At 38.8% G+C, this 27,351-nt stretch overlaps 1 protein-coding gene across 4 annotated transcripts in view, besides 1 other annotated feature; it reads left to right on the forward strand.

Moving 5' to 3' along the window:
• SGCD (sarcoglycan delta) overlaps window positions 1–27,351 on the forward strand; it is a 1,039,957-nt gene that overhangs the window by 308,223 nt on the left and 704,383 nt on the right. The gene's annotated exons all lie outside the window — the stretch shown is intronic.
• Window positions 6,636–7,184: an enhancer, noted in NCBI's record as "OCT4-NANOG hESC enhancer chr5:155469700-155470248 (GRCh37/hg19 assembly coordinates)". NCBI's record gives its function as "activates a minimal SCP1, AML or CMV promoter by ChIP-STARR-seq in primed H9 embryonic stem cells {active_cell/tissue: H9 hESC(primed)}" and the evidence as "EXISTENCE:reporter gene assay evidence [ECO:0000049][PMID:30033119]".

The following is a 27,351-nucleotide window of genomic DNA, read 5'->3' on the forward strand; positions in this document are numbered from 1 at the left end:
GAGGTTTCATGATCTCAGATAGACCAGGGCTTAGGGAAGCTAAATAAGCTGTTATAATTTACAGAGCTAGCTAATCACAGAATTGAGATTGTCACTAAATAAAACTTGAGTCTGCTTGCCTGGTGGGCTGAAAAAGCCAACACTGTCACCAAAATTTGCAGTGAGAGGTCATAGAGACTTGTACAGCAGGTGCCAAGCAAGGAGAATCAGGTGGCTAACACTTAAGATCCAAACTCCTCAGTGGCTTACAAGCAGAGTTTTTAAAGGCAGGGGTACATTTCAGGAAAGCAGAAGTTTCAGGCAAAATCATCAGCAGAAAGAAATGTTCAGGTCTGTCCTGTAAGCATGACTCTATCCAGGCTCCTCAGGAAGAAATTTAAAGCAAAGAATGACAGTCAGATCTCAGTCCTCATTTTCCCCTTATCTAAGGTCTATGGGAAAGCACTAGGCATTTTCCATCTGATGAGGGCCGAGGTTTCTGAAAGACAACTCAGAGACATACGTTAAGATGCTACCTTTGGTTTCTTTAGAGAACAAAACATCTTGAGACTCTAACTTACTTGGGTTACTGTTATTTAAGCTTTTTTTACTTTCTTGCTTCATGGGTTATTTATTCCCTTCCTCAATTGCTGGTAACAGGGCTAGCTAGGTGCCTGGAATTTCCCTTGGAGAGACTCAAATTTTCCTTTATTTCCATACTTGGTGGGGCCTGGTAGGTTCCTAAGAGTGGCTCATACTCTGTGTTAAGATTTGGAACCAAATATGCTTCACCCCAGAGCACATGTTTCTCCTTCTATGTCATGCTGCAGTTATTTGTTTAATAAATATAGACCAAGCTTTTTCCTGCCAAGCTCTTTGCCAAGCACTAGTGATTCAGGGTAGAGCAAAACAGACATGCAGAACCTCTCCTCATGCCACTTACAGTTTACTGGAGAGCTGGAAATTGATCAGATTGTGTCTCAGTGTCCCCATGGTTTTGTTTTGAAGACTGAATGAGAGTTGTAGTGCTTGGCACACATAAAGAGTGCTCAGTAATTTTTAGGTGACATTATTTTTATTCAATTACAACACAGACATGTAATTACAAATTTTATTACTTGCTATGATGGAAAAACATGTGGAATTGTAAAAGTAGATGACGGAGGACCAGATCTATTCTGGGAGGTGGGTGAAAGCTTCCCTGAGAGAGGCAAAAGAAGCTGGGGACAAGGAGCCATCTGAGCAGCAGGAGTGGCATGTGCAAAGGCCCTGAGGCAGAAGGGAACACTGTGTGTTCAAGGCAGTGACAGCAAGTGTGATGGAGCTGATAAAACAGTGCAGCTGCAGTCATTTTCTCCTCAATGTTTTCCCCAGTCCCAGGCATTTCTTCACATCTTTGCATTCCCCTGATGGCACCTGCACAGTTCTCAGGTCCTAATTCCCTAAACTCTGTAAGCAGGCAATTTGGCCTGTCAAATTGACCTAAAATGAAAGTTACCTACACAAACTTATTTAGGACACATAAAACATCTTGCATCTGTTGTGTTCCATCTTTAAAGATTCCACTCATAGATTAGGTAGCTTGTTGATGGCTGTGATTTAAATTCAGGAAGATGGCTCTGTCTACAAGATAAAAGATAATTGGGAATGAGTCATTGTCTTTTTAAAGAACAAACAGTGAGGTCTGGAAAATTTGCAGACACAGGTCTTGCACGTGTTAATTCCCTGCCAATGTAGACAGACTAGGCTATCTAGAAAGAAATTCCCTGGGGTTATTAAAGACCAAAAGTAATCATGCTAAAAAAGCTCTTTGAAGAAACATAATACTTATCATGTCAATATAATATATTGCATCTGTAGTAGCTACAGGGTGCAGGGAGAAGGCAAAAATGCAGGCAATGAATAGAACAAATAAAGTTTGAGGAGAGTCAAAGGTTAATGAGCCCCCTAAAAAGAAAACTAGATAGTACACAAGCCTTCCCGTAACTGTCCTATCTTAAACTTCTTTCATATCTGATATGTGGATTATTCTGGATCTGGTAGAGTGAAGATGGGGATAGAGACCAGGGAAATTACCTTTCTTATAACACCCAGAGCTGTTAGAGAACTTCAAATCATTAGGCCAATGAGAAGGCATCCTTCCCTGAAATTCATATCCTCAGCCAATCATGAGAAAGCATTAGATAGATCCTAAGGCAGGGAGACATTCTACAAAATACCTCACCAGTACTTTTCAAAAGTATCAAGGTCATGAAAGACAGGGAAAGATGAAGAGACTGTCATAGATTGAGGGAGACTAAGGAGACCTGACAACTAATTGCAATGGGATAGCATAAAGTAGGTCCTGGAACAGAAAAAAAATCAATGACATCTGAAAAAAAGTCTATAATGTAGTGAATAGTATTATGCCAATGTTAATTTCTCATCTTTCATGAATGCACCATGGCTATATAAGATGTTGATCTTAGGGAAAATTATTAGGATGTGATACATACAGGAACTCTGTACTGTATTTGCAACTTTCCTGCAAATCTAAAATTATTTCAAAATAAAAAGTAAAAAAAAAAATGGCTCCCACACACACACACACAAAATGACCAAAGCTTTCTCTTTACGAGTCAAGAAAGCAAAATTTACAGAGGCAACATGGCTACATAAAGCCTTACTTTGTTCCTTACTTTGTTAGATGGGGAATATGGGGATAAACAGCCTTTCTTCCTTGGGGATCTTTGCACTGTGTTTCTAGAAAAGGCGCAGAAGAACCTACAAAGGGCTCTTTCTCCCATACCACACATTGAGGCTGTTTTAATTTTTTTCCTGTCTAACATTGTTTTTACAAATATGCAAAGTGGTATATATTAGGTAAAAGGCAAAATCCTTAGCAGGGCCTACAAAACCCTGCTCAGTTTGGCCTCTGACCATGTCACCAGGGCCACCTGCTTGCTCGCTCTTCAATTCAGACATCCTCATCTTCCCCCTAGAAACAGAAATAGCCCTTTCCTGCCTCAGGAGCTTTTTATCAAGGTAGCATCCCAGTCCCCATATACGTAAAGACATTTGGGTTCTATCCTAAGTCAACTTCCTTTAAGAAGCCCTCCTTTATGGCCCACTCCACCACCTAGCCCTAAGAACCAATAAGACCATTTAGTTTTTGCTCCTGTCATACCCTATGCCTCTCTAGTGAATCAGCCAGCACACTTAGTTCTGCATGTTCATTTTTTACCTTCTACAGCATACTATTAATATATGCATTTCTAACTGACAATATTGATTTTCAATTTTTAAAGAAAATTTCAAATGCTGTTTGCTATTTTTATCTCTGTATGCCCCCACCCAGACCCCTCAGCATCCTGAATCAAAATTAAAGGCAACATCCTCCATTGACAAGGAAAGGAGCAAGCTCCTTGGGAGGTTTTGTTTTTGCATGATGGTATCTAAGCATGTGCTCTTTCTCACAAATTTATGGCTGGATTGCTAGGGTCTAATAAAGTACAGGCACATGGTAGATATTTAAACTATCTGTTGAATAAAATAATAAACTGAAAACTAGACAATTGAAACATTTGTCTGAACATCAACTGAGCAGTTAAGGAAAAGCAACACTTGGAAATCTAACTTACCTAGACTTAAAGAATTGTATGTTTTCTCATTTCTCATTTCAGCTTTTATACCTTGCAGGGTATCCAATGAAGCTCCTTTTACTACGGAGAGAGTAGTTTCCTTTTTCTGTTTCAGCATCGTGAAAGAGAAAGAGAAGTAACATATCGTGGGAGATGTATTTGCAGAAAAGCTTCAGTTGGCTCTTGTCATGACTCCTATATAAAAGAAAAAAAATCCTCTAAACTGCTCTAGAAATGAAAGAGATTGATGTGCAGTCTCTTCAAATTCTTCTGAATGGTGCACTGTGAAGATAAGTTACAGTGAGTGTCAGGCCATTTGTAGGAGCAGCAGGTTCCACACAAGGAGTTTTATGTGGGAGAGAGTAGCTAAAAGTGGAGCTCCAAGACAATGGAGATTAGCAAAGAGCTGTCATCCAGCTTCTGACATAGGTTTATACTGACCAATGGCAAAAGCATGAAGTGATACAGAGGTAAGCGCTGTATAAATATAATCATTATCGTCATCACCATCATCATTGGTGCTTCACCCCTTGCATATTCCTTTTACATTAAGCAGACCATTTGCTAGATAATTTTATGGGAATTGTATGTAGCACTACTGTGCTACAGCCAGAGAAGGATTTACTGATGAAGCTTAAGCCTTGGCGTCTCCGACAAGCGGGAGCCCCTTTCAAGAATGTCCACTATATTTTGTGTTTATAATTTTATATTCTCTTTCTTAAAGAGCATCCCACAAATTGTGTAAGCTTCTAGCCCCACAAAATGTGGATCTGTCCCTGATTATAATTATCCAGTAGAGGAACTCAAAAATACCATTGTGGAGTACACAACAAGCCAGATGACACGTGTTTTTATGCTTTAGGGCAGCCAGCACTACTAGCACACTGCATACCAAGTAGAAACTGATTAGATCCTTGTTGAATTAAAATCGGTGAGTGTGAAAAGCCACCACTTTCCACTCTTCTGCATTTGCTGTCAGAGCAAATGAATTCATAGGCCTAGGTGGTGTGGTGTAGTGTGCAGGATCTCTCATCCAGCTGTTGGTGACCCTCCCATGAGTGTGGGCAGATGCATGCCTTCATTTCCACTTAGATAACATTTTTCATTATCTCTTATAATGGGGCATCTAATATTAAGTCTTACATCAGATTATTTTAGGGCTTTGAAAATCCTCTACTGAATCTAGTGCCATCCTGATGGAGCTTGGCCCAGTGATGTGTAAGCCTCTAATTTAGGAATGTACTGGCTGAAGGCCCATTTTGATTTTATAGTAGCCTATTAATAAAACATCATCAGATTTAGAATCTCAATTCAAAAAAAGTAAACTTCTTGGGATTTTTCTGTTATTGTTCTGAGGCATAAACTGTGATGTTCTGTGTTTCCTTCTGAAGTAGATTTGAAATAGTGTTTTTTTCCAGTATCCTTCCCAGCATCAGCTCAATGTCAGGACTTATAAAAGCATAATCAGATGTGTATCTGGAGGCACATCATACCCTTTTTCCCTCTGTAAGTTATAAACCAATTGAAAAGTCAACACAGGCCTCACAGATAAGCTGAGCTAATAAAGATGGCCTAGGCCAACAGCACCTCTGAATCAGGTTGACTTATCCACAGTCTAGCGTGCTGAGCCCCAGAATGGGTTGATTGCCTTGTACTTCGGTCCAGTTCCTTCCTTACTGGGAAGATTATCCCATTCTCCTCATTTGCGCATGGAAGAATGAGGAAGGATAGGAGCACAGGTAGAAATTTTTTTCCGATACTTCCGAAAGGCAGACACTGTTATTTAGTAGGGAAGGGTAGAAATATCAGAAGAGAGATGGTGGAGAGGAGGGCCTGAAGGAAGAATGTTCTGCCTAAAGTAGAGATCGAGTTTTTTAATTGATTTTCAACAGGATTGAAGTTATTCATTTATCATTCATCCATCAACCATTTATTGAGTACCTATTATGTAAAGAACTCTAGACTTGGTGTGTCTTTTCGCAACTGTGTGAAAGATACACACTTGAAGAGAGAGTGCTCTCTATAAAATGACAAACCTTTGAGAAGTGAGGCATGTGTTGCAGGGCATGCAAAAAGGTTTCCTGTAAGGAAGATCATCATAAGGCAAAATAGAATAAAATAAACATAAAAGAGAGGTAATCTCTAAATACTGTGAAGAGGTTCCAGAAAGAATAGTAACTTCTGATTGTGGATTACACAACTTCACAAAGGCAGTGAGTGACCTTTGGACTAAGCCTTGAAGTATGATGGAATTTGACTATACTGAGAATAGCAGCCAAGGACATGCTAGGAATAGGAAAGAAATAGGTGTCAAGGCAAAGGTATAAAGAGCTTGATCAAAGTGAGAGCTAGTGACCAGGCTGGCACATGTGGAGAACTGAAGTGGAGCAACACCAAGGGCCTTGGGTTGCAACTACTATAATGATTCTAATGTGTTCCGTTCTTGTCTAAAACTGCACAAGTAGACTGTTTCCTCCAAATCTGGAAGTTAGGTACACTCTGAATTTTGAATTTATAAGTAATTAAAATAGGTATTTTTTTTTTTTGTCGATAGAAGAAAATAACAGAACCTCCACATTTTGAGAAGTATGTGTCAGGTGTTAAGCACCTGAAAGTGTCACTTGGCATTTCATAGATGACAAAACTGAAGAACTGAGAGGCTAATACCCTTGCTCCAAACCACACAGCTAATAAATGACAGATGCAGGAATTTAACACAAATTGGGATGACTCCACAGCCCATGCTTAACAGTGAGTGTAACCACCCAACAAGCTCATTTTGCCCACTGCCCAGATAGAGCCAATTTATCAAGATGGAGAATTGCAATAGAGAAAGAGTTTAATTCATGCAGAGCTGGCTGAATGAGAGACTGGAGTGTTATTACTCAAATCAGTCTCCTCGAAAATTCAGAGGCTAGAGGTTTTCAAGGATAGTTTTGATGGGCCTGGAAGTGGGTGCTGCTGATTTGTTGGGGATGCAATCATAGGGTTGTGGAAAATGGTTCATTTGTGTGCTCAGTCAGCTTCTGGATGGGGCCACAGGACCAGCTGGTGGGCCTGGGGGGAGCCATCAGTTGTCAGATATGCAGAAACCTGAAAAGACATCTCAGAAGGCCAATCTTAGGTTCTGTAAATGTTATCTGCTGGAGTAATTGGGGAAGTTGTGAATCTTGTGACCTACAGAATAATGGCTGGTAATCATTTATATCTACACCTCAGCAGAACTGGGCTCTTCTCAGCCTCCTCACTTAGTGGTCCTTTCATTAGCTCAGCCTCCTCACCTAGTGGTCTTTCATTAGCTTTACAAAGGCAATTTAGTTTTGGGGAAAGGCTATTGTCATTTAAACTATGTCTCTCAACATTAGCTTGGCCCAACCCCAGGAATGATTAAGGACAGTTTGGAGATTAAAGATAAAATGGGGATTGATTAGATCAGATCTCTTTTACTGTCATAATTTTCTTACGGTTACAATTTTTACAAAGGCAGTTTCATGACCAGTTTTTGCTGAACATAGAGCAGATCAGAAGTTCTGGAAGAACAAGTATCAATACATGAAGCTTCCCATGTTGCTAAATGCATCCTTAGAGCATGGAACAGAGCCACCTTGTTGCTAAGATCCTTTGCCTTAAAAAAATGAAATTGGATGGCACCTGCCTCTAACTAAGAGACACACATCAAGATCCAACAATTTCACATTGTTATTTTTTTATCATACTGATGGAAAATTAGGCAATTTCTCAATTAAATGTCACCTATCCTCTTGCATCTCCAGCAGCAACTGTCTAATTTCTCAGGGGTTTGGCAAAATTTCACCTCTCTAGTGTCTCCTATTCTTGGCTCAGCACTGGGAAAGTGGGGGCAAAGATACAGCTTTTAGCTGGCTGATTCTTGCTTCTTAAGACACTTTCTCAGCAGAGAAAGAACAGTTTTACTGCTTGGAAAAAGCTTTTATTTTGTCACCTGGTGCATGACTGTGGAAACCTTCAGTTCTCATTATTTCAGCCCATCTGGCACAGACTGGAAGGAAGAGATTTCTTCTTTGTATTGTAAATTAACAAAACAGCCCTACCCTTTTTAAAACCAGTTGAAAAAATAGAGTAATATCCAACACTCTTTAAAAAAGGAATTATTACCATGTTTAGAGAGTTGGCATCCATTTCAATAACTATTAACTGTACTCTCACAGTTTTGTACCACAGTTTTGGACCAAGAGAAAGGCAAATCCCAAATCTGTCAGTTAATCAACAAACATTTATTCAATGTCTTCCAAGGGTAAAACACTGGAGAAAACCGAGAATTTTTTTAAAAGACTCTACCATACAGCATCCTACAATCTTCTAGGGGGAGAATTAAACATGTTTAAATAACAGAGTGCTCAATATTTGTATGTATTCAGTCAAAGAGCCCCTAAGCACCCTATGCTTTCAGAGGCAGGGGATGTTTGCTCTGGACTGGGGAAGTCAGAGAAGTCTTCTTAGAAAAATTGGAATGAGAGTAAGGTCTTTAAGAAGAGGTAAAATTCATATAGTTGGTGAGGAAGAAAGAATGTAACATTTCAGGTAGGAGGGAGTGAAATGTTCAAGCCTAGGGCTTTGAGCACATTAGATGCTCAACAAAGGCTGTTGAATGGAGTAAAATCAAAAAGTTGTATTTCTGTTTTGGCCCTACATTTCCATGCTTGATTGTTTTCTGAATTGTCAGACCAGAAGATGGTATTATTCTCTTTAATACTTAGAGGAATATTTTCATAGGGAGGTTGATTTAATTCACCTAGGAAGATTCATTTGAATTAGTTGGATTGAATCATGGGTTGCTTCAGCTATAAATGAATGGAATCTTGCCAATAGGCAAGTGATACTTGCTGTCTTCCCCTTTTTAATCAGGCAGAGTATCTGTTAGTAGCTCTCCCTACAGAAAACCATTGATCATAATTGTAGTTGGTTCACTGGGAGAAAGGTGTGACAGTGGAAATTGGTGTAAGGTATGAAGATCAAAGCATTCTATAAACCGACAGAATTTTTTTCATATAGAAGGACTTACCATCAATTACGTTAAATGATATTTCATTTTTATGGAAGCAGTACATATGCATTGTAGAAAATTAATGAATACTCAGAGAAGCAAAATTAAAAATAACATTTCTACCACTGAAAGATCCAAACCATAAGTTTGTGTATATCTTTCCAGGTGCACACACACACACATGTTTTACATATGTGTGTGAATATACACACATGCACACTGCCTAAGTTTGTTTTCTGCTACTATAACAGAATACCACAGACTGGGTAATTTATATAGTTCAATTGGCTCACAGTTCTAGGGACTGAGAAGTCCAAGGGCATGGTGCAGTGTTTGCTTGGCATGTGGTCAGGTGAGCACCTTCTTGCTACAGTTATTCCATGGCAGAAGTGCAAGTGAACATTTGAGACAGAAAGAGAATTGGGGACATTCCAAACCTATCCTTTTATCAGGAGCCTACTTTCTCAACACAGACATTTATCCATTCCTGAGGACAGAGCCCTCATGACCTAATCACCTCTTAAAAATCCAACTTCTTAATACCATCACAACAGCAATGAACTTTCAACAAAAGTTTTGGAGGTGACATTCAAATCATAGCATACATGCTCACATACACATATACCTGTATATTTTACAGCGTAAGATAATACTATACATACTGTTTTGTGATCTGTGCATTTTCCTTCTATAATCTACACTTTTCCGTTCCAATATATTTTTATCTCATTTAATACCCATGCTACATTAAAATTTTGCCAATTAATTCAGAAATGTCCTTTAAGACTGACTTGCGTAAATCAGTATTCAATGCAGGACCACACAGGCATCTGATTGTTATGGACCTATATAATTCAGCCTGGCTGCCATCACAACATACCATAGACTGTGTGGTTTAAACAACAAAAATTTACTTCTTTACACTTCTGGAGGTTTGATGTTCTAGATCCAACTAAAGCAGCATCAGTTTCTGGTGACAGTTCTCTGCCTGGCTTGTAGATAGCTGCCCTCTCACTATGTCCTCCAATGGCCATTCCTTGGTTCATATGCATGGAAAGAGAGAGAACAAGCTTTCTGGTATCTCTTCTCCTGAAGACACTAATCCTATCAAATCAGGACCCCATTCTTATGACCTCATTTAACTTGAATTACTTCCTTAGAGGCCCCCCTCCAACTGTAGCCACAGTGGGAGTTAGGGCATCAACATATGAATATTTTGGGGGCACACAAACATTTAGTCTATGACAGGTCCTTAAAACTCTGAATCTTGCATAGCTCCTCTCCCACTTTTATTTATGACACTAGGTTAATTTTTTAAAATTATAATATGCTCCAATCCATGTAATTGTTTACATGGCCCTTTTCACATCCATTGTAAAAGACATTTTATTATAATACATAGCTCAGTGTAGACAGTAATCCTTGCTGCTATGGCTTGGGGAGTCCATTTTGCTCCAGTCCAGCTATAGTCATTTTGGCCTCAGTACATCATCTCACTTTCATGAGCTTCATTTCCTATATTAGACTAGAATTAATGAAACAGAATATCTATAGAAGATGCAAGGGATGTTTGTGCTTTCAATGAATTCCCCACATGACTCTTATCAATAGGCAAGTTTAGAAAATAGCCAAGTAGATTTTTTGTTTTGCTTTTTTTCATCTACACTTCTGCTGTATACTATGCAGGCATACCTAGTTTTATTGTGCTTTGCTTTATTCTGCTTCACAGATACTGTGTTTTTTAAACATTGAAGGTTTGTAGCAATTCTGTGTCTAGAAAGTCTATTGGTGCCATTTTTTTCCAAAAGTGTGTGCTCACTTTGTGTCTCTGGGTCACATTTTAGTAATTCTTACAAATTTTAAAATCTTTTCAGTACTATTTTACCTGTTATGGCAATTTTTGGTCATTGATCTTTGATGTTACTATTGTAATTGATTTGGGATGCGACAGACCCTGCCAATATAAGACGGTGAACTTAACCGAGAAATGTCGTGTGCATTCTGATTGCTCCACTGACCAGCACTTCCCCTACTTCTATCTTCTTGGACCTTCCTGTTCCCTGAGTTACAACAGTGTCAAAATGGTCCAATTAATGGCCTCCAATTGTCTCAAGGTATTCAAGTGAAGGGAAGTATCACATATCTCTCACTTCAAACACTAAAAATGATTAAGCTTAGCAAGGAAGGCATGTCTAAAGCCAGATAGACTGAAAGCTTGGGCTCTTGCATCAGTTAGCCAAGTTGTTAATGCAAAGGAAAAGTTTCTGAAGAAAATTAAAAGTGCTATTCCAGTGATTACATGAATGATTAAAACAAAAAAAGAAAGTGAAACAGCATCATTGCTGGTATGAAGAAAGTTTGAGTGGTCTGAATAGAAGGTCAAACCAGCCACAACATTTCTTTAAGCCAAAGCTTAACCCATAACAAGGCCCTAACTTTCTTCAATTCTGTGAAAGCTGAGAGAGATGAGGAAGCTGCAGAAGAAAAGTTGGAAACCAGCAGGAGTTGGTTAATGAAGTTTAAAGAAAGAAACCAACTCCATCACATAAGAGTGCAGAGTGAAGCAGCAAGTGTTGATGGAGAAGCTACATAAGTTATCCGGAAAATCCACGCAAGATCATCGATGAAGGTGGCTATACCCAACAACAGATTCTCAATGTAAATGAAACAGACTTCTATTGGAAGAAGATGATGTCTAGGACTTTCATAGCTAAAGGGGAGAAGTCAATGCCTGGCCTCATTGCTTCAAAAAACAGGCTGACTCTCTTTTTAGGGGACAATGCATCTGGTGACTAAGTTGAAGCCAATACTTATTAACTGATACTGAAAATTCTAGGGCCCTTAAGAATGAGGCTAAATCTACTCTGCCTATGCCCTAGAAATGGAACAACAAAGCTTGGATAACAGAAAATCTGTTTATAGCATGGCTAATTGAATATTTTAAGCCTGCTGCTAAGACTTACAGCTTGGGGGGGAAAAAGTTCTTTTCAAAATATTCCTGCGCATTGACAATGCACCTGGCCATACAAGAGCTCTAATGGAAATTTACAAGGAAATGAATATTGTTTTCTTGCCTTCTGATACAACCTTCATTCTCCAGCCCATGGATCAAAGATTTATTTTGAATTTCAAGCCTTATTTCTCTTTTCTTTTTTTTTAATTATACTTTAAGTTTTAGGGTACATGTGCACAATGTGCAGGTTAGTTACATATGTATACATGTGCCATGTTGGTGTGCTGCACCATTAACTCGTCATTTAGCATTAGGTATATCTCCTAATGCTATCCTTCCCCCATCCCCTCACCCCAAAACAGGCCCCGGTGTGTGATGTTCCCCTTCCTGTGTCCATGTGTTGTCATTGTTCAATTCCTACCTATGAGTGAGAACATGCGGTGTTTGGTTTTTTGCCCTTGCAATTGTTTGCTGAGAATGATGGTTTATAGCTCCATCCATGTCCCTACAAAGGACATGAACTCATCATTTTTTATGACTGCATAGTATTCCATGGTGTATATGTGCCACCTTTTCTTAATCCAGTCTATCATTGTTGGGCATTTGGCTTGGTTCCCAGTCTTTGCTATTGTGAATAGTGCCGCAATAAACATACGTGTGCATGTGTCTTTATAGCAGCATGATTTATAATCCTTTGGGTATATACCCAGTAATGAGATGGCTGGGTCAAATGGTATTTCTAGTTCTAGATCCCTGAGGAATCGCCACACTGACTTCCACAATGGTTGAACTAGTTTACAGTCCCACCAACAGTGTCAAAGTGTTCCTATTTCTCCACATCCTCTCCAGCACCTGTTGTTTCCTGACTTTTTAATGATTGCCATTCTAACTGGTGGGAGATGGGGTATCTCATTGTGGTTTTGATTTGCATTTCTCTGATGGCCAGTGATGATGAGCATTTTTTGATGTGTCTTTTGGCTGCATAAATGTCTTCTTTTGAGAAGTGTCTGTTCATATCCTTCACCCACTTTTTGATGGGGTTGTTTGTTTTTTTCTTGTAAATTTGTTGGAGTTCATTGTAGATTCTGGATATTAGCCTTTATCAGATGAGTAGATTGCAAAATTTTTCTCCCATTCTGTAGGTTGCCTGTTCACTCTGATGGTAGTTTCTTTTGCTGCGCAGAAGCTCTTTAGTTTAATTAGATCCCATTTGTCAATTTTGGCTTTTGTTGCCATTGTTTTTGGTGTTTTAGACTTGAAGTCCCTGCCCATGCCTATGTCCTGAATGGTGTTGCCTAGGTTTTCTTCTAAGGTTTTTATGGTTTCAGGTCTAACATTTAAGTCTTTAATCCATCTTGAATTAATTTTTGTATAAGGTGTAAGGAAGGGATCCAGTTTCAGCTTTCTACATATGGCTAGCCAGTTTTCCCAGCACCATTTATTAAATAGGGAATCCTTTTCCCATTTCTTGTTTTTGTCAGGTTTGTCAAAGATCAGATGGTTGTAGATATGCAGCATTATTTCTGAGGGCTCTGTTCTGTTCTGTTGGTCTATATCTCTGTTTTGGTACCAGTACCATGCTGTTTTGGTTACTGTAGGCTTGTAGTACAGTTTGAAGTCAGGTAGTGTGATGCCTCCAGCTTTGTTCTTTTGGCTTAGGATTGACTTGGTGATGCGGGCTCTTTTTTGGTTCCATATGAACTTTAAAGTAGTTTTTTCCAATTCTGTGAAGAAAGTCATTGGTAGCTTGATGGGGATGGCATTGAATCTATAAATTCCCTTGGGCAGTATGGCCATTTTCACCATATTGATTCTTCCTATCCATGAGCATGGAATGTTCTTCCATTTGTTTGTATCCTCTTTTATTTAATTGAGCAGTGGTTTGTAGTTCTCCTTGAAGAGCACTAAACGTGGAAAGGAACAACCAGTACCAGCCACTGCAAAAACATGCCAAATTGTAAGAGCATCAAAGCCTTATTTCTTAAGAAATATATTTTGTAAGTCTATATCTGTCATAAATAGTGATTCATTGATGGATTTGAGCAAAGTACATTGAAAACCTTCTGGAATGGATTCACCCTTCTAGATGCCATTAAGAACATTTGTGATTCATGAAAAGAGGTCCAAAGAGCAACATGAGCATGACTTGGGAAAAAGTTGATTCCAGTATTAATGAGTGACTTTGAGGGGTTCAAGGCTTCAATGGAGGAAGAAATTGCAGATGTGGTGGAACTAGCCAGAGAACTGGAATTAGAAGTAGAGCCTGGAGCTGTGACTGAAGTGCTGAAATCTCATGATAAAACTTGAATGGATGAGGATTTGCCTCTTTTGAATGGGCAAAGAAAGTGATTTCTTCAGATGGAGTCCACTCCTGGTGAAGATGCTATGAACATTGTTGAAATGGCAACAAAGGATTTGAATATTACATAAATTTAATTGATAAAGCAGCAGCAGGATTTGAGAGGATTGACTCCAATTTTGAAAGAAGTTCTACTTTGGGTAAAATACTCTCAATCAGCATCGCATGCCATAGAGAAATCTTTCACGAAAAGAAGAACCAACTGATGCTACAGAATTCATTGTCATCTTATTTTAAGAAATCGCCACAGCAACCTTAATCTTCAGCAACCATCACCCTGATCAGTCATCAGCCATCAACACTGAGGCAAGACTCTCCACCAGCAGAAAGATTATGACTTGCTGAAGACTCAGACGCTAGTTAGTGTTTTTTACTAATAAAGTATTCTTTAAATTATAAAGGGTACATTTTTTATACCTAATGCTATTGCATACTTACAGTATCATGTAAACATAACTTTTCCATGTACTAGGAAACCAAAAAATTCTTATGACTCACCTTATTGTGATATTTGCTTTATTCAGGTAGCCTGTAACTGAGCCTGCAATATCTCTGAGCTATGCTTTTATGCAAAGCACAAACTATATAGCTCTCTTTAACCATAAACCATAGTTTCCTATGGCTGCTGTGGTAAAGCACCACAAATGCAGTGGCTTAAAACAACATATATTTATTATCTTGCAGTTCTGGAGGTCAGAAGTCCTAAAATCAAGGTGTCAGCAGGGCTGCATTTCTTCTTGATGCTCTAGGAGATAATTCATTTTGCCTTTTCTAGCTTCTAGAAGTTATCTGCATTCCTTGGCCCATTTATTTATCCTCCATCTTCAAAATTAAAAGTATAGCTTCTTATAACCTCTTTCTCACCATTGTGCCTCCATTTTACAAGAACCCTTTGATTACATTGGGCCAACATGGATAATCCAGGCTAATCTTCCCACCTCAGGATCCTTAATGTTATCACATTGCTAAGTCTCTTTTGACATAAAAGGTAACTTATTCCCTTGTCCCAGGGATTGGCACATGAGCATTCTTGGAGAACCATTACTCAGCCTTTCACATATACCTTTACTAGAAACTAATATTATAGCTGAAATAAACACTAAGCATTTCATTTTAAAAAAGGTTTGTTTGCCTTCTTAAAATACATTATGAAATTTGATAAATGAGTATTATGGATTGTTATTAAAAACAGAGAGAAACCAAGGAAGAGAGGGAGGAAAGAAAGGGGGAAAATATTTTCCCAGAGAAGTTTGAATTTGAGTTTATCACTCTAGAAAATTTCACTTTCCTCTCAAATTTAGCTTACTAAATTTCCAAAGTGACACTGCATTTCTCTTCTTCCATGAATTACTTAAGATTCATAAGTACCCTGGTTAATAGTCCAGTGACTGGGTTGAGACTTGAAAATAAATATGCAAATTTATATTTGACCACATGGAGAGAGATGGGAGCTGTCTGCTTTTTGGCAAACTGAATAACTATATATAATATACCCAGTGTTCCAACTTTGAATGCTTCCAAATCTTTATGCAAGATAGTACAACAAATACTATAATATATTTATTCATTTAACAATTAATTGTTGAGCTCCATGCAGGAGGTACTAAGGTGAGAACCCAATATAGGTTGATTAAGAAAACAGACATGCTTGTGTGTGTGAAACATATAAACTAGAGGGGAAGGCAGACAGAAAAAGTAAAAAACTAAACAAACAAATATATAAATGAGCACTCGTGGTAGGAAGGAACAAGCATAGTGCAATAGGAAGGCTTAGGAAGGAGATTGAAGAGTTTTCTCTGTGGATAAACCTGAAGTTTGGGAAGGAGCCAACCCTGTCTGTATGTTTTAGTGCATGTAGTGTGTGCTGGGGGAAAGAGGTGGGGAAGGGTTGTTGTTCTGAGCAGAGGGAATGGGATGTGAAATGCTGGTGGAGGTGGAAGGCGTTATGATGTTGTGTCAGGCCTTTTCCTTAGTTCAGCTAAAGACAGGGTTCTTGTCCATCCCATGGCCACAAAAATTTATGCTCACAGACAGTTTAAAGGGTAAGTAAAGCAGGATTTTATTGGGTGAAAAAGGGAAAAAAGGGGAAACAGGGATCCTCCATAAGTCCAGAGTTCCTGCTAGAGCACTTCCGCCCACAGCTTGAATCCCAAGTTCCACCCAAGAAGAGGAGGGGCCAGGCTGCCCTCTGCTGCAAATGTCGTGAACTTCCTGAGGCTCCACCTCAGTAGACAGGCTGGTTGGAGTTTCTCCAGGGATCCCCTCCCACCTGGCTGTCTCAGTGTCGGGGGTAAGGGGTGAAGAGTTTGGTGTGTTCAAGTGGTAGGACAGAAGCCATTGTGGCTGGAATATTACAGATGAAAGGGGAGAGGCTGGCAGGGTTTGGTTCACACAAGGCTTTGTAGGTCATGAGAAGGCCTTTGAACTTCATGCTAAGTGTGATGAAAGGAAGCCTAGGGGCTTGGAGGACTAAGTTTATAAAAGATTACTCTGGGTATTGTGAGCAGAATAAACTGTTGGGCCAGGGCTAGTTGGAAGGTTAGAGAAGCAGGGTGGTGAGATATATAGAAATGAAGACATGTGAACATGGAATATATTTTAGTGGTAGAAACAATAGAGTTTGCAGATAGAAAATATATGTCGTATAAATGAGGACTCCTAGCAGGGCTGGCTGCATACTTTGTGAAACACAGTGCAAAATGCAGGGTTCCTTGTTAAAGGAGTAAAAAAAAAAGTGCCATTAAAGGTACTAAAGTGTAAAACTGTTTGCTTTCTTCCATGTCTCTCTTGCCATCTGTCATGATGGTGTTTTATTTGCTGCTTAATGTCACATTAACTTGGGCACAGGGATATTTGCCAGACAAAGTCCAGACCCTTGCAGGCTCCCTGGGGTTTTGCCCAGAGACTCAATTGGGGCAGAGTTAATCACTGCTGGGTTTCCTCTTATGCAAGCTCTAGGACCAATGTGTTGTGCCCCCCTGGGGACAGGAAAGTCAATCTTCCCTTCCCACAGGTCCACTGCCTCGTCCACAGCAAACAGGCAACCCCCAAGGTTATTGGAGCCCCTGATCCAGGACACACTTGATACTTGAATTAGGGTGGGCAAAAGGCTTGTCCCTACCTAGTAGCTAGCTGAACATACATATGGCACTGCCAGTTGGGGCATTTACAACCACTACCATGCCCTACTTGAGACACCACAGGGTGATTGGTGTGTGTGCTCATCCTCAACCCTCCCCTTGCCCAGGCTGCTGCTGAAGGTTAAGGGCTATAGCAGAATGCAGCACCACTCCCCAGTCCCCGGCCATGTAACATGGTCACCATCCTGGACAGAGGGCAGCAGCTGTCACTGCTCAGTGACAGGGAAGCCGAAGGTGAAAAAGGCCCAGGATGAACAGGAGACAGGGGGCTGAGAATCCATCTAAAAGGTAGTGAGGGGGTGAGAGGCAGGACTACATGTGAGCCAAACTCCAAGCACTCAGTATGCTCCTTTGTCCCATTGAACTTCACTTATAAAATGCAAATTAGAAGATAAAATTAAGAATGTAAAGACTGCAACCACAGAACATTAAACTCCAAGTGCAGGACCCTCTGAGCTTGGAGCTCTTGTGTGATTCCCCTGGCCATGTGCCTATGAAGCCAGCCTTAACTTTTGGGGTTTTGACTTAAGCACCTTGGCAAATGTTGGTACCACATAATGAAATAGAGAAGATGGAAACAATCCAGTTTGCAAGATACCTTAGTGCATTCAGGCTGCTATAACAAAATACTTTAAGCTGGGTAGTTATAAACAACAGAAATTTATTGCTCACAGTTATGGGGCCTGCAAAGTTCAAAATCAAGATGCTGGCAGATTCAATATCTGGTGAGTGCCATTCCTCACGGATGACATCTAGCTTTGTCCCCACATGGTGGAAGGGGCAAGGGAGCTCATCTGAGCTGCTTCTGTAGGGGCACTGATTCCATTGACGAGGGTAGAGTTCTCATAACTTAATGACTTCCCAAAGGCCCTACCGCTTAATACTATCATAGTGTGAACCAGGTTCCGATATATGAAATGAGAGGGACACCAACATTCAGACCACAGCACAAAGGCAAATCATATATATTTGGGTGGAGATGTCAAGTAAGAAATTGGGAATATAAGTCTAGAGCTTATTTAGTTCCGGAGGTTTTGAAATATTCAGGGCCGTAGTCTGATATTCCCATTACCACTTTCTTGCAAAGCTAAAGTGCAACACCAAACATCTGGATGTTTGGATTCCAGTTAAACCAATTAAACATGAACTTTCCTTCTTTTTTTTTTTTTTTTTTTGAGACAGAGTCTCGCTCTGTGGCCCAGGCTGGAGTGCAGTGGCGCGATCTCGGCTCACGGCAAGCTCCGCCTCCCGGGTTCACGCCATTCTCCTGCCTCAGCCTCCCAACTACCTGGGACTACAGGCACCCGCCACCACGCCTGGCTAATTTTTTGTATTTTTAGTAGAGACGGCGTTTCACCGTGTTAGCCAGGATGGTCTCAATCTCCTGACCTCGTGATCCACCCGCCTCAGCCTCCCAAAGTGATGGGATTACAGGCGTGAGCCACCGCGCCCGGCCCCTAAACATGAACTTTCTATATTTAAATATCTCAAAACATTTTTGCAAAAGGCCAGATAATGTTTATTTGACTGCAATATTAATGTATTTTCAGAAGCCTTTCTTTATCATATACATGTGTATATTCATTATCCCATTTCTTTTCTCTTTCCTAAACTTGAAGTAGCATTTTTGTTTGTCAGGCTAATATTAACTCTTGAATTATTCTGATTTATTGAGTACATAATTCTATATTAAGTTATAAATACACAAACAGGGTTACTGGACTTTACATTATTCTTAAACTCAAAATGGAGAGCTGGGCTTGATTCTTTCACCTCAAATATAGTTGAAACCAGAAAACCTGGACAGTGTGCCAGTCATTCTATTTTTTCACTCATTCAGTTTATAGGTGTGGTCCAAAAGGAAGCTGTTTTAAGCCCACCCTGTCCCTGTTGTGTGTGACAGGGAGCCAAAAATATGTCTGTGCTCAGAGGAGTTAGGAGATGTTTGCCTTCAGGTAGTATGTGAGAGAAAACTTTCTCCAATTCTTTGCCTATAGCAGTGCCAGCTTCCAGTTTTCTATTTTTTTTTTTCCCCATAGAAGAATTCAGCCCTGAGGCTACTCCTTTTTTTTCTTTCTTTCTTTCTTTTCTTTTTTTTCTTAAAAGACAAAATAAAGTAGCCTCTGATAGACTATGAGAAGAAAAGTAGTAAAGGTGGCTGTTGATTAAGCTGTGACTTATGTCTTTGACATCTATGCGGGTCACTTCTAAATTGGGTCTCTTCCAAAGAACATCAGAGAAAACTAGAAACATGTTTATTAAAGTCCCCAGATGATTATTCTGTATCCTCTTCCAGTTAATGCTCCAGACACCCCACTGAAAGCAGGGACATATCTAGAAATTATGTTAAAGGTAAATCTCTCTTGTAGATGAATATGGATTTGAAGATTGTTACTTGGTGTTCACCCAGTCACAGTGACCTAGTTTTAAGGAAGTACGTCTCACATATACCTCTACTATCATTAGGTGGCAAAGAAAGGAGATTTCAAGGGACAGTGTTTAGACTATATATTTTAAAGGAAATGTACTCTTTAACAAACCTAATTTATCTGAAAATTAGATTTAAACTAGCTGGATGCCTGGTAAATAAGAGGCAGTCAGTAAATATTTGTAGGACTTAAATTAGGCATGCATCTCTTCTAGCCTCAGAGCCATATACTCTAGTTCAGCAGCCAGAAAGGAGTCTAAAAAGTTAATTCATCATGCAGGTAATAAAGCTTGCCACAATGAAAGCATGGTATTACATGCTTAGTGGAATAAAAAACAGAATGGATAGGTAGAGTAACAGCCCTGACTTCTAACGACTTAGAGGACACTAAAACTTACAAAATGTGTTAGAATTATATATATATTTAAAGCTAAAGGAAAATTTTAAAAAGTCACCTAGTCTAACCAGTGTGGACTAGACTTATCAGTCAGAAATAGTGACAAAGTTGAAGTCAGATGCTGCTCTTAGTCCAGTATTCATTCCAACTGATGTCACTCTTGCAAAAATTGTGACAGTAAGAAAATTATAACAATGACAGAGATCTGACCTAACTGACTCCATCTTACTTCTAACCTCCAAGCTACCCTTATTTATTCCTGAGTGTAGGCTGAACTAACTTTGGGAGGAACTTAGTTTATAGTTTAACTCTGAAACAAAGATGATAACAGCCCTTTACTGAAACAAATCCCTTTCTTGCCTGGGGACCAGACTGCCTTTGTAGGACTAACAAATTATGGTTTAGGAGTCATGCAGCCAGGGGCCACAAGATTCCAAACTTCTCCAGTTGTTCCTATGAATAACATCAATATTGTAGGACCTAATATCAGTGCTCAAGATATTTTTCAGACCCCGAATTCTGATGCACCAGCTGATGCTACCCCAGACCAGTAATCTGGCTCAGCTAGTTCTGCCATCTCACCCAGGAACAGAAGACAGCAAGAAGAACACACTTTGATCTATGATTTCATCTCCTACCCCAACCAATCAACTCTTCTCATTCTCTGGTCCCCTACCTGCCAAATTATCCTTAAAAAAAAAAAAAAAAAAAACAGTCTCCAAATTTTCAGAGAGGCTGATTTAAGTAATAAAACTCCAGTTTCCCATTTAGCCAGCTGAGCGTGAATTAAACGTTTTCTCTATTGCAATTCTCCTGTCTTGATAAATCAGTGCTATCTGGGCAGTAGGCAAGGAGAATCTGTCGGGTGGTTACACAACTATAACCACTGGGCATTTTTTGAAAGTACTTTATGAATCCTCTTGTTGCCTTATCTGTGGCAAGCGATGACTGATACCTACTTAGTGTAATAGGTTGTTCAAAGCAGTTTTATCAAGACAGGGTGGAAACTAGCGCATCCCTAAGTACGTTTGAAATACTCCATGCAAGTGGTTTATCTATACAGATAGTCATTAATGCATTTAAAATTGTGATCCATAGAAAACAGCTTGGATGTTCAGTAATAAAGAATAAATAGACTATCTCTTAGCTGTCAAAAATGAAACTGTAGAAGAGTAGTTAATGACATAGGAAAATATTCACTATGTAAAATTATGTAGAAATATATCTTGCATTATAGTATTATCCCATTAATATATGCATTGCCTATCATTTCATACAGGGACACTTCTTCAAACCCACCCCAAAGATAAACTTGCAACACTATAAAAGGATACAGGCAAATGGCCATTCATTCAGCAGTATTTATAATAGCAAAAGACTGGCAACAACCTAAAAGTCTATCATCAGGGTCAAATGAGGAATTATGTTAGTCATTGAGATGCAGAGTATTTTGTGTGTGAGAAATAAAAAACAGCTGTGATAGATGAGTTTAAATAAAATCATGACCTGAATTTGATTTGTAAATATCAGTTTGAATGAGGATGACTTTATTTGGGAACAAAACAAAACATCTTTAGTAAATCTGTCCTCTGAAAAAGGCCAGAGAAAATGATCATCATTTAGTAAGTCACACTTCTTGGAGGAATTTCTGACCCAGGTCTGAGGTAGAAAATGCATGAACTGAAAGGGACCATCATCTTGCCATGTCAGAAAACAGAACAAATTACAAAGGCTATTGAGAATATGTCAAAGAGTGAGGATCCAAGTGAAACTGTCTCCTGCTGGCCAATGATGGAAGGATTTGGGCACTAACAAATATAATGGCCATAATGATTGGAAAACATCAGATATGTTTAAAACCATGAGTACCTAAGAATGCTAAAAAAAAATCAATCACTGGTCACTTTTAGTATGATTGGGAACAAATTATCTTGGAAAGTAATAAAGGAAAGAATTAAGCATTCATCTTGTCTTACATATACAGGGTATAACTCAAAGGAATCAAGTTACTCATATGGAAAAGATGCACTTTTTAGACATCTTCAGGCAGTAAATGAGGAAAGCATCAAGCCATTTACAATACATAATGAAATAATCTACAGAATGACCATTAATGTTGCTAACATTATAAAATGGGTGAACCAAATTATATGGGCTTCTGGTGCAAAGACCACACCAAAACTTATGTTTATTCCTACCCAAAAAATCAAAACTGATTCTGAGCAAGCCTTTAGATATAATTACCAATTTATATTAAAAGCAGGAGACAGAGGAACATGTTAAGTAATATTATGAGGGATTAAATTAGTAACATTCACACTGTGGGAAACTTCAGGAGACAACCTAGATTCTTCTAAAAATATCTTACAAAGAATAAAGCTGAAGTGAGAGGGAGTGGGATACCTCACATTAAAAGAGATTTCAAACTAAACCAATGATCCTTAAACTTTATTTAATGTGCATGTGAATCATCTGGGATCTTGTGGAAATGCAGATTCTGCTTTAGTGGGTCTGGGGATGGGGGAGGCTGAGACTCAGCATTTCTAACGGGCTTCCAGGAATGCTGCTGGCCCATCAGCTACACTTTGAGTAACTAAGATTTAGGAGACATACTGATCAATAGCAATGCGTGGGCCTAAATTTTATCCTGATTCAAACAAGTAACCTAAAAAAATACTTAGGAGACAGTTGGAAATATGAATGTTAAATATGGATATTTAATAATATTAGCAAACCATCATTAAGTTTGTAGATGAAATAATGGTATTACATTATGATTAATGAAAAGTATATTTGTTTTATAAAGATATATAATGGAATATTTACAGTTGAAATGAGATGATGTCTGGGTTGGCCTCAAAGTAACCTGGAGAAAGGGGAAACTGTGTAGGAATATAGATGAAACAAGATTGGCCGTGAGTTATTAGTTATACTGAATGATGGGTGTATTGGATCTTTCTGTACTGGTCTATCTATTTTTGTGTATGTTTGAATTTTTCCATGATAAAAGTTATTTAAAAATATATATTGCTTATGCCTAGAAAAAAGAGAATTATGCACTGCAAATTGTAACAGCAGTTATAGATTTTTATTTTCTTTTTTGTGCTTCCTCATAATTTTCAAATTTCTACAAGTGGGTATATCATTTTTTAAATAAAAAAAAAAAAGTTTTGGTTTTTGATTTCTGGGAGTTTTTGAGGGCAGTTCTGTTGATTAAATTGTCCCACCTCGTGAATGACTAGGCTTAACAAGCAAAACCCAAGCCCTGTCTAGAGGAAAGCAAGTTAATTAAATTAACGTAGTTTCCCAGCTGAGAGAGAGACAGTAACCAGGAAAGGGAAGGCGGGTTTATTTAGCTTCTTCCTCTGCTAAGGAAACTTGTATTGTGAGAGAAGGCATTGTTGTCTCAGCCTCCAAGAACTAAGAACTTGAGGGTTGGAGGAGAAAGATTTGGGGAATCTGAGTGAAGCTCTTTTAAACTTTTATCAGAAAAGGTGCATTAGAAATCCAAGATTGCAACACATATAAGACTCTGTGAGGTTGGAGTGGCAGCTGGATTTATCTGTCTTCCTAGTGTGCATTGGCAGGGGACCCTATGACCAGTGCAAGGTAAGATAGTGTGGTGTTTTTAAGGCCCGCTGGCTTTGAAGGTAACACAGTTTAGGTGGCAGTCCTGCTCTGTGACTTAGCTGCTACCTGGCTTTGCCAAAGTAATTTGCCTTCTCTAAGTCTGAATTTCCCCATTTGTAAAACAGAGAAACAATAATGGCACTTCACAGGTTTGGTAGTATAGTACCTGGAAACAGTGCACATGCAATAAATACAAGTCGTTTCGTGGCTATTGCTGGTAAGAAATAGAATATCCAGATTTGCCATTTAAACCAATCTGTGAACTATTTCCCAGTTTGCTGACTTTTTATGTTTTTATTTCTCTTCCTCTTTTCTTTTTAGCTGCTAATGGACCTCAGATTTGACTGTTCTCACAAAAGTGCTGAGGTGTTCTCAGTCCATCAGTTGTCTTTATATCTATATGGTTGTCACAAAACTGTTCAGGTCAAATATTCTCCCAAGATGCTCATAAGTCAGTGGAAAAAATCCTGTATAAATTATGAACTCTTCATACAGAACAATTAATCTAAAATATTAACCTGCATTTTTTGTTCAGACTATTTCAAAGGAGTTTTAGAACCCCAATCGTCCAATTGCCTACTTCATTAACATCCTGTCCTATAAGGTGTGCAGGAGTAGATGCAATGATCAGTAAGTGTAGAGGAGAAATGTGGAGACCAAACTGAGAGAGCCTTGAATGCCACGCTAAGAAGTGTGGCTTTGAATTATCAGACAGTGAAGCACCTGTCAAAATTTTGATCAATAATATTACCTGATGAGAGTTGAACACTACAAGATTTCCCTGGAATTGGTTTTCTGGATGATCAGGTTATAGAGAAGGTTTAGAACAGCTAAAAAGTCTTTCTATCTTCTAGCCCAAAACAAGATAGTAAAAGACAGGATTAATTGGATGGCACCTAAGTTCCTTCAAATATTCAGTTCATTTCTTAATGAAGTTTTTTACAAGGGGCATTTTGGGAACTAACCAATTGAGACTGGTTATAATGGGAATGGGGTACTTCCAAAGAAATTTATGTACCTTCATCAATGCTGGAATATATGTTGTTTTGTTGCATAGAAATAGGGTGTAAAGATGTTTGGAGGTGGGAGGCCCTATGAAGAATTTGGGTGGATTCAAGTTTAGCCTAAATATGGCTGTTTGAATCTTAATAGGTACAATTTGGATGTTGTAAGCATACAGAGTGGGAAATAATATACTTTTTAATATTAAAAACTAAAAGATTGACATTAAATAATTTTACTTATTAAATGCATTTAATTGAAGTGCTAGAAAATTTATATCACTATATTTTCCTAGAAATATAGCCATAAGAAAGGGCCACCCAGATGTGTGTTTTTCCCATATGCCACCTCATTTTAACATCCCCAGTTCCTATCACCGTGGTCAGCGGAATCCCTCTGTCTTTTCTCTGTGTCTGGACTCTCACAAAAATTGATTTAAAAATCTATTCATTCCTGAAAATGGCAGCTATTGTTAAAAAAAATAAAAATCTATTCAAGACTTTATCCTTACCTGAGTCAAAGCACTAGTCTCACAGAGACGTTATTAATGAGTCTATAAGATTTTAACCCCTGTAAAAATTGCAACTATTTTTTTTTTTTGCTAAAATTTTTCAGTAGTTCCCAGTGTTATCCAAACCATACATAGTATGTCCAATCTCTACTATTCTTCAAGGCTAAGAGAATATAAGCGTTGGTCTTTAGCTGAAGATCCTTCAAGGATCAAAACAAAACAGAGCTAGACAAAAGAAACAGAGACAGGGAGTTAATTAAATTTCTGTTAGGTCTCATGTCTAATTCCTATAGGCTCCCTTCATGGTTTCTTACCATAGAAACCAAATGTGACAGGCTAATGGATGTTTTTAAATTCATACACTATAACTGGTATCCTGAAAACCAGGATTCGACTTAGCTTGGGTTTCTTCCTTAAAGGATGGGAGGAAAATATTTAAAAACAAACCCACTGCATGAATGTTAATGAATTGGACCCCTCAATGGAAATAAAGCTCTTTTCAGGGGAAGTGTTAAATGTAGGAATCACAGTAGAAATTTGATCTATGCCAGGTGTTAGTGGAAGGACAATGCACAATTGTTGTTAATTAGGAAGAAATAGAAAACTAGGAACAGGAGAAATTTATTCTCAATGTAAAGAAAAAGTAAGACCCAAAGGCAACAAATATCTAATGGGTTGTCTGGACAGTTTCATAGATGAACTGACAGTTTGGGGACATGTGTTGGAGTGTTCCTCCAAGTTACATTAATATATGTCTTTGAATAATTCAGTCATTGAGATTGGCAGGTAAAAGATATTTGGTGATAATTCCAGGAGTTTTCACTTTTTTTTTTTTTTTTTTTTTTTTTATTATACTCTAAGTTTTAGGGTACATGTGCACATTGTGCAGGTTAGTTACATATGTATACATGTGCCATGCTGGTGCGCTGCACCCACTAATGTGTCATCTAGCATTAGGTATATCTCCCAATGCTATCCCTCCCCCCTCCCCCGACCCCACCACAGTCCCCAGAGTGTGATGTTCCCCTTCCTGTGTGCATGTGATCTCATTGTTCAGTTCCCACCTATGAGTGAGAATATGCGGTGTTTGGTTTTTTGTTCTTGCGATAGTTTACTGAGAATGATGGTTTCCAATTTCATCCATGTCCCTACAAAGGATATGAACTCATCATTTTTTATGGCTGCATAGTATTCCATGGTGTATATGTGCCACATTTTCTTAATCCAGTCTATCATTGTTGGACATTTGGGTTGGTTCCAAGTCTTTGCTATTGTGAATAGTGCCGCAATAAACATACGTGTGCATGTGTCTTTATAGCAGCATGATTTATAGTCCTTTGGGTATATACCCAGTAATGGGATGGCTGGGTCAAATGGTATTTCTAGTTCTAGATCCCTCAGGAATTGCCACACTGACTTCCACAATGGTTGAACTAGTTTACAGTCCCACCAACAGTGTAAAAGTGTTCCTATTTCTCCGCATCCTCTCCAGCACCTGTTGTTTCCTGACTTTTTAATGATTGCCATTCTAACTGGTGTGAGATGATATCTCATAGTGGTTTTGATTTGCATTTCTCTGATGGCCAGTGATGATGAGCATTTCTTCATGTGTTTTTTGGCTGCATAAATGTCTTCTTTTGAGAAGTGTCTGTTCATGTCCTTCGCCCACTTTTTGATGGGGTTGTTTGTTTTTTTCTTGTAAATTTGTTTGAGTTCATTGTAGATTCTGGATATTAGCCCTTTGTCAGATGAGTAGGTTGCGAAAATTTTCTCCCATGTTGTAGGTTGCCTGTTCACTCTGATGGTAGTTTCTTTTGCTGTGCAGAAGCTCTTTAGTTTAATTAGATCCCATTTGTCAATTTTGTCTTTTGTTGCCATTGCTTTTGGTGTTTTGGACATGAAGTCCTTGCCCACGCCTATGTCCTGAATGGTAATGCCTAGGTTTTCTTCTAGGGTTTTTATGGTTTTAGGTTTAACGTTTAAATCTTTAATCCATCTTGAATTGATTTTTGTATAAGGTGTAAGGAAGGGATCCAGTTTCAGCTTTCTACATATGGCTAGCCAGTTTTCCCAGCACCATTTATTAAATAGGGAATCCTTTCCCCATTGCTTGTTTTTCTCAGGTTTGTCAAAGATCAGATAGTTGTAGATATGTGGCATTATTTCTGAGGGCTCTGTTCTGTTCCATTGATCTATATCTCTGTTTTGGTACCAGTACCATGCTGTTTTGGTTACTGTAGCCTTGTAGTATAGTTTGAAGTCAGGTAGTGTGATGCCTCCAGCTTTGTTCTTTTGGCTTAGGATTGACT

This window comes from Homo sapiens, chromosome 5, assembly GCF_000001405.40.
Source record: "Homo sapiens chromosome 5, GRCh38.p14 Primary Assembly".
Classification (NCBI taxonomy): domain Eukaryota; kingdom Metazoa; phylum Chordata; class Mammalia; order Primates; family Hominidae; genus Homo; species Homo sapiens.